General features: G+C 38.7%; 1 long non-coding RNA gene across 1 annotated transcript, besides 1 other annotated feature; it reads right to left on the bottom strand.

The window, feature by feature from the left end:
* Nucleotides 4,678-4,850: a silencer, noted in NCBI's record as "fragment chr5:42847432-42847604 (GRCh37/hg19 assembly coordinates)". NCBI's record gives its function as "represses an EF-1alpha promoter that drives an FKBP-Casp9 reporter gene in an ReSE screen in K562 erythroleukemia cells {active_cell/tissue: K562}" and the evidence as "EXISTENCE:reporter gene assay evidence [ECO:0000049][PMID:32094911]".
* On the bottom strand, nucleotides 12,677-14,605 carry LOC124900970 (uncharacterized). The gene is made up of 2 exons (XR_007058751.1): nucleotides 14,143-14,605; nucleotides 12,677-13,134 (listed from the first exon to the last, which is right to left on the bottom strand). It is a non-coding gene; the product is annotated as an uncharacterized LOC124900970 (long non-coding RNA).
* Between the last annotated feature and the right edge of the window lie 873 nt (nucleotides 14,606-15,478).

The following is a 15,478-nucleotide window of genomic DNA, read 5'->3' as shown; positions in this document are numbered from 1 at the left end:
AAAAAGCTTCCTGCCTGCCATACCAGCAAAAAATCACCACGTACTCCCCGTCTCTACTAAAAGCACAAAAATTAGCCAGGCATGGTGACATGTGCCTGTAATCCCAGCTACTCAGGAGGCTGAGGCAGGAGAATTGCTTGAACCCGGGAGGTGGAGGTTGCAGTGAGCCACGATCACACCACTGCACTCCAGTCTGGGTGACAGAGCAAGACTCTGTCTCAAAAAAAAAAAAAGAAAAAATCACCATGTACCAATCTGTCCAAGCTTATCCATGGATGGGACTACCGGGAAAACAGGAGTTCTGATGCTTGTCTTGCTCTGAATGTCTGCTTGTCACCTGCTTAAGGTTATCGACTGTGATTCCGTGAATCATTGTTGTACATGACCCCTGTGACTCTGTAGTTTCTCTACTGGATTAACAATGATAGCCATAGGGGTTTTGTTTTGTTTTGTTTTTTCCTTACTGGAGTGACAGCCCTGTATAAAGTTACAAAGTTACAGTCGATGAGAACTTGCAGAAAACCACAAGACCAAGACTAGGAGTGATTTGAAGGAGTGGAAGTCCCCGAGGCACTATAGAACCTTCCATGACTCAGTTACTAATCGCAAGCACCTCGCTGTAGCTGTACATTGAACCTTGATATCTTCAGGTCTTTGGAACTTTTAAGTCTCCTGAGGATTTTTTTTTTAATACAAATAAAATCTGGCTTAAAAAAAAAAAGAAAAGGAAACAGGCCAGGTGTAGTGTCTCATGCCTATATTCCCAGCACTTTTGGAGGCCAAGGTAGGAGGATCACTTGAGGCCAGGAATTTGAGACCAGCCTATGCAACATAGCAAGACTCCACCTCTACAAAAAAAAAAAAAGTAAAAAAGCATACCCGTAAAAAGCCAAAAGTTAATATATCTACATTTTTGTGAACAAAACAATGAACTTTAGAACTCTTTAGTTCTAATCACCTTCTCCACTTTCCATTTTTGTTTAATATTTTAGTTTCATCTCATTAAAATTCTTCTATCTAGTAGTCATTATTATTATTGTTTTTCAATAGCCAATTTTTATTTACTCAAATATTTACCACATTATTTGATACATACTGCTTTTTTATACCCAACTCTTTTCTTTTCAGTTGAATTTCCTCTTTCTAAAGTACTTCCTTTATATAATAGTTCTTTCAAGAACCATTTGAAAATCCTTACTGCTCATTGCATATGGCATACACATTCAGATTTATTTTATTTTATTTTATCTCACCCTTGAATGATAATTTAGCTGATATTTTTCCTCAATACTCTGGAGATATTATTATATTATTTTGGGATCTCTATTTTTTTTCTATTGAGAAGTCAGCTTTAGTCTAACAGTCACTTTGTAAGTAATCTATATTTTCATTCTAACTGCTGTTAAGTTTTTTTCATTATTTACGGTGTTTTACAGTTTTATTCTGATGTGTCTAGGTGTGAATTAATTTTTGTTTAGCTTAGTGGTCAATGCTGCCAGGTCCCCTTCAAGCAATTTTCAGTGAATCTCTGCTCTTCTACATGAAATTCTTATATTTGAGAATTAAGAAATGAAATTCTTATATTTGAGAATTAAATTCTTTCACTGATTCTGAAAAATTCTCATCAAATATTACCTCTTCCCCAATTAATCTATTTCTTCCTTTGTAACTTTTCTAGATATATATTGTCTGATATCCTCTATCTCAATAGTTAATTTCATAGGATTCATGGACATTAATTCTATCCAACACAAACTCCCACAAATTTCTTCCTCAGCATCCTGCAAATGTTTCAATATATGCAACTCTACTTATTTCTTTTCTTTTTTAAATTAAAATAAAAATTTGTAGAGACAGAGTCTCACTCTGTTGCCTCAGCTGGACTGAAACTTCTAGGCTCAAGGGATTCTCCTGCCTCAGCCTCCTAAGTAGTTTGGGACTACAGGCACATACCACATCTCTTCTTATTTCTTTACTTCGGTTTCACATAGGCATTAAGACACAGGTTTTGGTATGACACTTATGTTTACATTTGTGTTTTATTTGTACTATATATTCCCAACCTCAGTTTTAGATTCAACAGATGCTAAATGGAGAAAAAAAAGAGTATATACCACTTAAGGTTGCTGTGAGGACAAAATAAGATAACATACATAACACTTAGTTGGGTGTGTGGCATAGTAAGCACTCAATATAATGGAATAATGAAAACAGTTATTATCATCTACTCAAGATAAATTTTCACACCTATGTTCACTGTCCATCTCCTCTGTAATTTTCAATGTTTACTTTTTCCTCTAGTATTTTCAGCTTCTTTCCCTCTACTGGATCCTACCTCATAGGCTATAAAAATATTCTCTTTGTCCAAAATAAAAATTTCTGTCTCTACCCTGAGGTTTCCCTTCAGTTTCCACACTTTAAAAAAAAATCTTCCTCCATGGCTCACACCTGTAATCCCAGCACTTTGGGAGGCCGAGGAGGGTGGATCATGAGGTCAAGAGATCGAGACCATCCTGGCCAACATGGTGAAACCCCATCTCTACTAAAAATACAAAAAATTAGCTGGGCGTGGCGGCGCGTGCCTGTAGTCTCAGCTACTCGGGCGGCTGAGGCAGGAGAATCGCTTGAACCCAGGAGGCAGAGGCCGCAGTGCAGTGGCGCACTGCAACTTGGTGATAAAGCGAGACTCTGTCTCAAAAAAAAAAAAAAAAAATCTCCCTTTCTCAGCCATATTCTTTTATTGTAGTAAAATAAAATAAAATTTACCATGTAACCAATTTTAAGTGTACAGTTCAGTAGTATTAAACAAATTCATAATGCTGTTTATCCATCATCTCCATCCATCTCCATAACTTTTTTCATCTTGTAAAACAGAAACTCTATACCTATTAAACAGTAACTCTTCATTCCCCTTCCCACTAGCTCATGGTAACCACTATGCTACTTTCTGTCTCTGTGAATTTGACTACTCTAAGTGCCTCAGGTAAGTGGAATCATACAGTATTTGTTTTTATATGACTGGCTTATTTCATTTAGCATAATATTCTTAAGATTCATTCATGTTGTAGTATATGTCAGAATTCCTATCTTTTTAAGCCTAACGATATTCCATTGTATATGTATACTACACTTTGCTTATCTACCCACCCACCGATGAACATTTGGGTTGGATCCATGTTTTAGCTATTGTGAATAATCCTGCTATGACCATGAGTGTACAAATACCTCACTGAGACTTTGCTTTCAATTATTTTGGGCATATACACAGAAGTGAAATTGCAAGATCATATGGTAATTCTATTTTTAACTTTTTGAGCACCAACCATACTGTTTTCTACAGGCAGCTGCAACATCTTACATTACATTTTACAGTGCACAGGGGTTCCAACTTCTCCACATCCTTGCCAACACTTGTTATTTTCTGTTTTGTTTTGTTTATGATGGCCATCCTAGTGGATGTGAGGTAGTTCAACATAAGTTTTTATTTCGCTTGGGTAAATACCTAGGAGTGGGATTGCCGGACTATATGGTACATCTATATTTAAATTTATATTAAATTGTTGAGCCATTTTTCAAAATGAATGTACCTTTTTACATTCTGTCTAGTGATATTGAGAGTTTTAGTTGCTCTATAGCTTTGTTAGCACTAGACATCCTCCTACAAAATTTTAGCCATTCTAGTAAGAAAATGGTAGTATCTTATTGTGGTTTTAATTTTTACTTTCCTAATAACGAATGATTTTGAACTTCTTTTCATGTGCTTATATGCCATTTGTATTTGTATCTCTTCTCAGTCACATGTTCAAATCTTTTGCCCATTTAAAATTCGGTTGTTTTTACTATTTTTTGATTTCTTAATATTTAGATACAAGTCCTTTATCAGATATCTTTTTTTGCATTTTCTTTTGGTAGTTTGTCACTTTGTCTTTTAATTCTCTTTATAGCGATTTTTGAAGAGCAAAAATTTTTGTGGATTTCATGTCTAAAAGTCTTTGTCTAAGCCAAGGTCACAAAGATTTTCTCCTGTGTTTTATTCCAGAAGTGTAATAGTTTTAGATCCATGATCCATCTTGAGTTGATTTTTGTGTATGCTGTGAAATAAAGTTGAGGCTTTTTTGTTTTTGTTTTTTGCATATAGATGTCCAGTTTTTCTAGCACATAGGATGTGTTCAATAACATTAATACAATATTCATTATACAGTAGTATGATATTCATTGTACAAAGAGAAGAAATAGAAGAATCAGCTGGACCCCAAAGCTGTCTTGGCTTTCTAATATGCCTCAGGGGCAAAAATGTTCTAGTTTAACTACTTTCAAGCACAAATGCCTAGTTAGAAAATATTAATTGGACTAGCTCTATCTCTGCTGATCTCTCTCATGCTTGAGTTTTTATGACATTGAAAGATTTATTATACGATCTAGTGCTTATTGTTTTAAATATTTTCCTGTATATTATTATTTCTGCATTTCACTTTCTGTTTTCCTGTGCATTATTAATATATTTCTACATTTCATTAAATGCTCTGAGAGCTTCTTGATTTGTGACTCTAATAATGGTTAGCTAAGTTCCTCTCCATTGGTTACTGATAGATTAACTGACGCCTGACTTCTGAGTAAAGCAGTTGCTGTACAGGTAACATTTACTTTCTTCTATTTATTTATTTTTTTTTGAGACAGAGTCTCACTCTGTCGCCCAGGCTGGAGTGCAGTGGCGTGATCTCTGCTCACTGCAAGCTCCGCCCCCTGGGTTCACGCCATTCTCCTGCCTCAGCCTCCCGAGAAGCTGGGACTACAGGCGCCCACCACTATGCCCGGCTAAATTTTTTTTTTTTTTTTTTTTTTTTTTGTATATTTAGTGGAGACGGGGTTTCACCGTGTTAGCTAGGATGGTCTTGATCTCCTGACCTCGCGATCCACCCGCCTCGGCCTCCCAAAGTGCTGGGATTACAGGCATGAGCCACCGCGCCCGGCAACATTTACCTTCTTTGAGTTGAACACTGTCATGTGATACAGTTTTAAAAGTAAACCAGTGAGTGAAGGTTATATTCTCTTTTAGATATAACTATGACAAACAACACATCGTGCTGACTTGTTCTTAGACTGAAAAGTACAAATTTTGAGCACAGCTTCCTGTTCTTTAGAAACATGTAATTTTAGTCAGCAAACATTAGCAAATTGGAGAGTTTTGAATTATTTATTTATTGCACAATCACAAATTTACAGCCTTGTGAATGTTAATATTTTCTGGGAATGAGAACAGACAAAAAGATAAAAAGCTTTAGAGATAGTCCTTAGTTACCCATAGTTTTGAAGCCTAAATTCAATTGCACAGGAAAAACAAAAAAACAAAAAAAACAAAACAAGATAAAGAACTAGAGTAGTAATTAGCCTGAAAGTCAGAAGATCAGAGTTCTTTAGTTCTGGCTCTGGTTCTAGTCAACTGTGAGATTTTTGAGTAAGTCTAAAATCTTGCTGGGTCTCCAAATCCTCATATTTAAAACCAGAGCCTTGAATTTTTTTTTTTTTTTTTGAGACACAGTTTCACTTATAGCCCAGGCTGGAGTGCAATGGGGCGATCTGGGCTCACTGCAACCTCCACCTTCAGGGCTCAAGCGATTCTCCTGCCTCAGCCTCCAGAGTAGCCGGGATTATAGGCGCCTGCCACCACGCTTGGCTAATTTTTGTATTTTTAGTAGAGACAGGGTTTCACTATGTTGGCCAGGTTGGTCTTGAACTCCTTACCTCAGGTGATCCGCCTGCCTTGGCCTCCCAAAGTGCTGGGATTACAGGGGTGAGCCACCATGCCTGGCCTCAGAGGCTTGAATTCTGATGATTGGTAATGCCTCTTCCTGTTTTCAGATTCTACTATTTATTTAAATCAACAACAACTGTGGTAGAAAGAATATGTAATGATAATGGAAAGTGTTAGCAGTAGAAAAATGAGCTGTAGAATGGAGAGGAATAAAGGAATGATTTTTTTTTTTTCGGGAAGGAGAATTTCTCCCTGAATGAATGATCTTTTGATAGAGGAAGGCTTAATGCTTTAACCTGAAAGCTGGCATTTCACATAATCTGAACTGAATAGTTTTGTGATCATTTCACTGTTTAAAAAGATGTTGAAGTTCATAGATATGTCCATCTAAACATTGAGTGAGACCAAGATATAAATGGATGAGTTACATAGAACTAAGATTTTTTTTTAAATAGAAATAGGATATCATGAAGAACATTCTATGCTCATGGGTAGGAAGAATCAATATTGTGAAAATGGCCATACTGCCCAAGGTAATTTATAGATTCAATGCCATCCCCATCAAGCTACCAATGACTTTCTTCACAGAATTGGAAAAAACTACTTTAAAGTACATATGGAATGAAAAAAGAGCTTGCATTGCCAAGTCAATCCTAAGCCAAAAGAACAAAGCTGGAGGCATCACACTACCTGACTTCAAACTATACTACAAGCCTACAGCAACCAAAACAGCATGGTACTGGTACCAAAACAGAGATATAGACCAATGGAACAGAACAGAGCCCTCAGAAATAATGCCGCATATCTACAACTATCTGATCTTTGACAAACCTGACAAAAACAAGAAATGGGGAAAGGATTCCCTGTTTAATAAATGGTGCTGGGAAAATTGGCTAGCCATATGTAGAAAGCTAAAACTGGATCCCTTCCTTACACGTTATACAAAAATTAATTCAAGATGGATTAAAGACTTAAATGTTAGACCTAAAACTGTAAAAACCCTAGAAGAAAACCTAGGCATTACCATTCAGGACATAGGCATGGGCAAGGACTTCATGTCTAAAACACCAAAAGCAATGGCAACAAAAGCCAAAATTAACAAATGGGATCTAATTAAACTAAAGAGCTTCTGCACAGCAAAAGAAACTACCCTCAGAGTGAACAGGCAACCTACAGAATGGGAGAAAATTTTTGCAATGTACCCATCTGACAAAGGGCTAATATCCAGAATCTACAAAGAACTTAAACAAGTTTACAAGAAAAAATCAAACAACCCCATCAAAAAGTGGGCGAAGTATATGAACAGACACTTCTCAAAAGAAGACATTTATGCAGCCAAAAAACACATGAAGAAATGCTCATCATCACTGGCCATCAGAGAAATGCAAATCAAAACCACAATGAGATACCATCTCACACCAGTTAGAATGGCAATCAGTAAAAAGTCAGGAAACAACAGGTGCTGGAGAGGTTGTGGAGAAATAGGAACACTTTTACACTGTTGGTGGGACTGTAAACTAGTTCAACCATTGTGGAAGTCAGTGTGGCGATTCCTCAGTGATCTAGAACTAGAAATACTATTTGACCCAGCCATCCCATTACTGGATATATACCCAAAGGATTATAAAACATGCTGCTATAAAAACACATGCACATGTATGTTTACTGTGGCACTATTCATAATAGCAAAGACTTGGAACCAAGCCAAATGTCCAACAATGATAGACTGGATTAAGAAAATGTGGCACATATACACCATGGAATACTATGCAGCCATAAAAAAGGATGAGTTCATGTCCTTTGTAGGGACATGGATGAAGCTGGAAACCATCATTCTGAGCAAACTCTCGCAAGGACAGAAAACCAAACACCGCATGTTCTCACTCATCGGTGGGAATTGAACAATGAGATCACATGGACACAGGAAGGGGAACATCACATACTGGGGCCTGTTGTTGGGTGGAGGGAGGGGGGAAGGACAGCATTAGGAGATATACCTAATGTTAAATGACGATAATGGGTGCAGCACACCAACATGGCACATGTATACATATGTAACAAACCTGCACTTTGTGCACATGTACCCTAAAACTTAAAGTAGAATAATAAAAAAAGAATAAAATTTACGTCTTTTATATTAAAAAAAAAGAAATAGGATTTCACTTTGTTGCCCAGACTGGTCTCAAACTCGTGGCCCTCAAGTGATTCTCCTGCCTCAGTCCTCCAAAGTGTTAGGGTTACAAATGTGAAGCACTGTGCCTGGTGTAAAACTAGAAATTCTTGCACCATTCTCAATTATTTGCCTTTTATTCTGGATCCACAGGGACTAAATCTCTATGATCTCCATGACCAAAACTTGTCAATAATTTCTGCAAAGTTATTAATTAACCAATTCAGCTAAAAGTCCAATTAGTGTGGAAGACAGCATGTTGCTAAAAATGATGGTTGTGGCTTTGTGAAGCCCATTCTGGGTGGCAAGCTCATATTCCTTTTTCTCTTCTTTGAGGGTGACAGTGGTTGCTCTGTCCCAGCCTGTGTCATGGGTGGTCCTGGCTCACTATCAGGTGATGAGTGGATATGTTAGCGCTTTCCATTCGAAGGGTTAAAAACTCACTCTGGCTGAGTAATTGAGGTTTGTAGAAAGGAGAAAATTATTGAGATTTATAGAGAGGACAGAAGTGGCTCTAAGAAACAGAAAATTCATGGAGAACAAGGAGTAAGTGGGGTGATAGGTTTCAGGGAATAAAGAGAAACAGTATTTGGGACACAAGAATGACAGAGCTCAAAAAACTAAGTTATCTTATTGAATTCTCACCACTGGAATTTGTTCTCTTCACTAGAGCAGTGTCATCAATGCGACTCAACCATTCTCTCAATTTTTGCTTCTCTCCTCTGTGTCTGGTCACTTATTTCAAAATCAACTGCCTGAGGCTCTTTGTGTTTTTCAAGTCAAATTCCCGAGAGAGAATTTATTAGTCTAGCTGATATTCATTATCTCTGTTTTGGGCCATGGGCAGAATGTCAACATAGCAGGCCTAAGGCTGCTATTTTTAGTAGGGTCTGCTTGCAAGGTTGGCCCTTAGCACAATAATTTCCACAGATAATTATTTGGAATAAATTCCAAATGATAAAGAAGTTTCACTGTGCCTAGATTGTTTGTGAAAATGTGATTTATGCTGAACACCTGCTTTCCTTCTGCCAGTCTGGAATTTTGGCATGTGTTATGCAGAGAGTAGATGTGATGAGCCCCCAATAAAAATGTTGAACGCTGAGTCTCTAGTGGGATTTCCTGGGCAGAAACATTGCATACATGATACAGCATTTTTAATTGCTGAAGGAAGTAAGTCACTCACATCATGTCTCCCTTTACAGAAGGAGAGAGCATAGGAAGCCCGTGCATGGATTTCTGTAAATTCTGTGTCTTTTCCCATTATGATCTCACTGTGTATTCTTGTTATTTCATCTGTGTAATAAATCCTAGCTATGTGGTGATTTCCTGAGTCCCATGAGTCCTTCTAGCAAATCTCTGAATATGGGGATGATCTTGAAGATCCTGACACAGGCCATTTCAATTAATTAACAAGATTAATTGCATATAGTGGAGAGCAGCTAGAGACCCCAGCTTATGGAATGATCTAGAGCAGTGGCTCTCAACTCTGGCTGCAAAGCAGAATCTTCTATAATGCCTTTATAAATTGAACCCCCTCCAAGATTAATTAGAATCCTGGAATTAGAATCTGCGGGTAGGTTCTGGACATGACAAGTTGTTTTTTTTTTTTTTTTTTTTTTGAGACAGAGTCTCGCTCTGTCACCCAGGCTGGAGTGCAGTGGTGTGATCTCAGCTCACTGCAACCTCCGCCTCCCAGGTTCAAGCAATTCTCCTGCCTCAGCCTCCAGAGTAGCTGGGACTACAGGTGTGTGCCACCATGACCAGCTAATTTTTTTTCTGTATTTTTAGTAGCGATGGGGTTTGACCATGTTAGCCAGGATGGCCTCAATCTCCTGACCTCATGATCCGCCTGTCTCGGCCTCCCAACATGCTGGCATTACAGGTGTGAGCCATCACGCCTGGCCTGGACAGTTACAAGTTTTTAAAATTCTCCAGTGATTCTTATGTGCAGTCATAATTAGGACCAATGGTCTGCTGCAATTCTCCTCCACAGGGTTCTAGCTGGCAGTTTTCTTTAGAAAACTGTAGGCTAGGGAGGCTTGGGAGGCATCATTATCTATCTGGCAGTACAATGTTCATTTTTCAGACAAAGAAATGAAGAACCCATGTTTTCAGGCATACTGACAAAAAATGAGTGAAACTGTTTAGTTGTAAACAATAGTCTGGGAATTGTGTTATTTTAGGGGTCCTACTGCAGCCATCTTTATAGCATAAAGTTTATGCTGACAATGTTCCATGCTTTCAAACTCTGGTAGAAAAACCAGCAGAAAAGAATAATATTCTTTGCCCACTTTTTGATGCGGTTGTTTGTTTGGAACATCACACACCGGGGACTGTTGTGGGGTGGGGGAGGGGGGAGGGATAGCATTAGGAGATATACCTAATGCTAAATGACGAGTTAATGGGTGCAGCACACCAACATGGCACATGTATACATATGTAACAAGCCTGCACGTTGTGCACATGTACCTTAAAACTTAAAGTATAATAATAATAATAAAATTTAAAAAGTTACATCTTCTTGAGTAAAAATATAAAATTAAAAAAAGAATATTAAAATAAATACAACCAACTGCAGCAATATTTTGCCATTGACCCACCTTCTTGAACATATTGTTCCATGAAATATATCTGTTATGAAATAAAGTCACATCTGACTCTTAGGGTTATTCAAAGATCCATGTTAAATTCTTCTCATCGGAGACAATCTAATTTTGTCTTTTTTGAAAAAGCTAGCTGGCAGGAAAGCCCTACTGGCTCAGCCTGTGGTATCACTTGCTCCTTTTTCAATGTAGACATATGTGGCAATTGACCATTTGGGTATGAGATGTGGCTCTCTCCTCCAGTCTTCCTATCACTGGCTTCCTCACAGCCTTCCAGGCCAAAGTCCTCTGATACAGCTGCTGCAAAAAAGAGCTGCCACCTTCTCAGAGCAGCCTCCATTTGGCAGAGCTACCTTCATGCCAGGTCTTGCCCATCCTGGACACCTGACAAAGATACGTTGATTTGATTTGATGTGATAATGGAAGCACTGGAAGAAAGAACTACTGTTGACAGGCAGGAGCTCACCACACTTCCTGTCTTGTGTCTTTCTATAGGGCCCAAGGCTGCTCCATAAAGTGCCTCTGGATAAAAGCAGGTGTTTTTTTATATGGAGACAGCCTTATCCTGCATGTACAAAAGTGATATCTTGATGCCCTGCTAGGATGCAGTTTTTCCTCATGATAGCCACACGGTGTTTGTAAGCGACATTGACTATCTATCACAACACCCCTTCCCCTGCACAGCTTCGACTGGCCCTTGCACAGTTGGAGGTAAACCAAGACTTAACTGAGCTGGCTTAAAGCTTCAGCCTCCAGCTTTCCTTTTATTTGTTTCACCCTTTGGAGCTGGTGTCTCTCTTACACACATGGGCTGAGTGTTCTCTCAAGCTGTTTCCTTCCCCCCCATGACACCCACTTTGAAAAAGAACTAGAAACTCATTCATCCTAAAAAATTCAGGTTGAAATTCTCTTGTGAGTTTATGCCTTTTAGGAAAGCTCAATGAACAAAACTTCAGGTGGAGGAGGTTGCTTTTTGGTGGCAGTGGTGGTGTAGGAGGCATGGAAGAGGTGGCTTCCTGGTACACTTGGTACCCTGACTGCAGTTACCTCTTATCAGCGCATTCCACCCCATGGCAGCCTGCCACTGGCTCAGACCCGTGGGCTTGGCATATAGATGACCCTTAGAACGGTTACTAAAAGTACCAGAGGGATAAACTTCAATTCTGCCCCCACCATTTTGTGGTCTCCAAAGCATTTCATTTCGCAATTCCATTTTGTTTCCCTTTCCACAAGTTAACCAACGCATCTGGCAGCTGTGATGCAGAGTCAGCAAGAACTGTTGTTTTTCCTTTACTGCCTGGCAATGTCTCAAATTTGAGTGAGTTCTCAACCCCAATTATGCTTTTAGAAATTTTCCTAAACGAAAGGAGATTGCTAACAGAACAAGAATCTTAAAACTGCATGAAATTCTACACTGAGAGTCTTGAAGAAAGGCTGTTCAAACAAAAACTCCATGAGACCAGGAGAGGACATTCTTATGTGTAGGTAACTTTTATACCCAGAAAGATAATGTAACAAATAACTAGTAATAGCTATATAAAATATGAAAAAAAGCAGATTGCAAAAATAACATGCAGAAAGACCCTCTTTTGGTAAAATGCAGGACATACAAATAATACAGACCACTTATTGTTTGCTTACTAGGTGCCAGGCACTTTATTAAGTGCCTTGTATATAGCACTTTAATATAAATCATTAACAAAAACCTGAACGGTTCATATTATCCTCATTTTACTGATGACAAAACTGAGGTGTACGGAAGTTAACAATATGCCCAAAGTCACATTGACAATATGTAAAAAATATCCATGATGCGTTAGGATATTTTGAACCATTAGTGTATGTGTTTGTAAAGAAAAACCACTGGCAATAAACTGTAATATTAACCGATTAAGGATAATGACTTTTTAATTTTTAAATTTAGATTATGTATATTTCAAAATGCATCTCCAATGAATGTCTTTTTTTAACAGAAGTTTTTTTTAAGTGAGAAAATTATGTGAAACTGTTTATAGATGAGTTAAATACATTTACTGTTGGATGGTAACAAGTTTCAGTGAATTATTTTTTTTCTATTTATTCTGTTTGTGAAACTATAAGGACTGCTGAATTAGTCTGCTGGAGCTGCCATAAAAAATATCACAGATTGGGTAATTTAAACAACAGCAATTTATTTTCTCACAGGTCTGAAAGCTAGAAGTTCAACATCAAGTTGTTTGCAGGGTTGGTTTCTAATGAGGGTCGTTCAACTTGGTGTGTAGATGACCATCTTCTCTCTTTATTCACATGATCCTCTGTGCGTGTTTGTCTCCTAGTCTCCTTATAAGGAGACCACTTACATTGGATAAATGCCCACTCATATAATCTCATTTTATCTTAATTACTTCGTTCAAGTCCCTATTTCCAAATACCATTACATTATGAGTATTAGGGGATAAAATATCAACATATGAATTTTAGAGGGGACACAATTCAGCCTCCATAACAATGTTCATCATTGAAATGTCTAAGTTAAATAACTCAAGACATTAAAAATTGATGCCAGTGATAAAAACAACATTAACAGACGCTTGAGAGGATCCTATATCTTCTCTTCAAATGCTTCACTTCTGAAATAAAGAATATTTTCAGAGTAAAGTTTATAAGATTTTTTCCAAACACTCCAGAAAGAGCCATGGAAAGGTCTAATGCTAATAACATAGATGTGCACTTGTTGTATATCTGGAATTCAAAACTCTATGATAATCATCATTCTGTCATCTTTTCCAATGGTGTTTTGCATTTGTGGCTTAAAAATTTCTCTCTTCCCACATTTCATGACACACATACAACATTTTAGCTAAATTTCTAGAGTCTAGCTGATAAGATATAAATCCTCAAGAAGTTGCATCTGAGCATTTTTTTTTGCTTTGTTTCTCCCTCATTTTTAGTGATAAATGGTTCATTCAAGCTTAGGAACAATGTAGTAGTATAACAATGGTCTCATCAGAAATGGTACAATAAACCAAATGAAGAAATTATGTCCTCTGCATTCCCATCTTTGACAGAATTAACAAGTTGTATGTACAATATTAGGGTCGGCAGAGGATGACTTTTTTTCCACAGAGTCCCTGATGCTGGTGGTGATTGGCCAGCAAGGAAAGTTTAAATGAGTCTTGCTTTTTTCTTCTGTGTTTTTTCCCCTCATACTTTTCACTAACCTGTAGAGTCTCAGATTCTAAACCTGTTTCCTGTCTGCCACCATCCTTTCACTTCTCCACTTGTTTTGTCCCCATCCTGCCTGCCTGTTGAATACTATCTATCCAACGAGTTCTGGCCAAGAACTCAGTTTACCTTCTCTGGAATGCCTTCCCTGACTGGGCCTTCAATACTTCTGCCCTTTCTAGATGTTCGTGGACTTCTATAAAATGAAACTTTTAGAAGACAGAGGAATCTTCTTGTCCTTGGGATGGTTTTATCTCACCAATGCTCAAAAAATAAGTGTTAAGTGAACAAATAAATGAATGAGTTAATGGGGCCCTTACTTTTGGCATAGTTTCTGTATTAATTATCTATTACTGTCTAATAGATGATCCCAGGACTTAACCACTTAAAACAATAAACATTTATTATCTTACAGTTTCTGGATCAGGAATCTGGGAGCAGCTTAGCTGAAATCTCTCTCTCTCAAAGCCTCTCAAAAGGCTGCAGTCAAAATGGCAGCCAGGGCTGCACTCTCATTTGAAGGTTCAATGGAGACAGGTTCTTGTTCCAAGCTCGTTCATGTTGTTGTTGACATAATTCATTTCTTTGCTGGCTATTGCATTGAAGCCTTCCCTCAGTTCTTTGTCACATGTACTTCTCCATAGGAAAGCTCACAGCCTAGCAGCTGGCTTTGCTCAGAGCCAGGGAGGAAATGGAAGAGGGAAGAAGGATGGAAATTAGAGTCTGAGAAGTGACAGCTCATTATTTTGCTATATTTTATTTCTTACAAATGAGTCACTATGTCCACCTAGCTCAAGGAGAAGTTGTGTCCGAAATTGGTGGGTTCTTGGTCTCGCTGACTTTAAGAATGAAGCCACGGACCCTCTCGGTGAGTGTTACAGTTCTTAAAGATGGTGTGTCCAGAGTTTGTTCCTTCTGATGTTTGGATGTGTGTTTGGAGTTTCTTTCTTCTGGTGGGTTCTTGATCTCACTGGCTTCAAGAGTGAAGCTGCACACCTTAGCGGTGTGTTACAGCTCTTAAAGTGGCACATCTGGAGTTGTTCATTCCTCCCATCTGAAGTTTGTTCATCCCAGCCAGAGTTGTTCATTCCTCCTGGTGGGTTCATGGTCTCACTGGCCTCAGGAGTGAAGCTGCAGACCTTCGTGGTGAGTTTTACAGCTCATAAAGGCAGTGTGGACCCAAAGAGTGGGCAGCAGCAAGATTTATTGCAAACAGCAAAAGAACAAAGCTACCACAGTGTGGAAGGGGACCCCAGTGGGTTGCCGCTGTTGGCTTGGGCAGCCTGCTTTTATTCCCTTATCTGACCCCACCCACATCCTGCTGATTGGTCCATTTTACAGAGAGCTGACTGGTCCGTTTTACAGAGAGCTGATTGGTCCCTTTTGACAGGGTGCTGATTGGTGCGTTTACAAACCTTGAGCTAGACACAGAGTGCTGATTGGCGCATTTACAATCCTTTAGCTAGACACAAAAGTTCTCCAAGTCCCCACTAGATTAGCTAGACACAGAGCACTGATTAGTGTGTTTACAAATCTTTAGCTAGACACATAGTGCTGATTGGTTCATTTACAATCCTCTAGCTAGCCATAAAAGTTCTCCCAGTCTCCACCCCACTCAGGAGCCCAGCTGGCTTTGCCTAGGAGATCCTGTGCCAGGGCCGCAGGCAGAGCTGCCTGCCAGTACTGCGCTGTGCACCCGCACTCCTCATCTCTTGGGTGGTCGATGGGACTGGGTGCCGTGGAGCAGGG

The sequence above is a fragment of the Homo sapiens genome, chromosome 5, assembly GCF_000001405.40.
Source record: "Homo sapiens chromosome 5, GRCh38.p14 Primary Assembly".
Lineage (NCBI taxonomy): Eukaryota > Metazoa > Chordata > Mammalia > Primates > Hominidae > Homo > Homo sapiens.
This window is presented reverse-complemented; position numbering and strand designations above follow the sequence as displayed.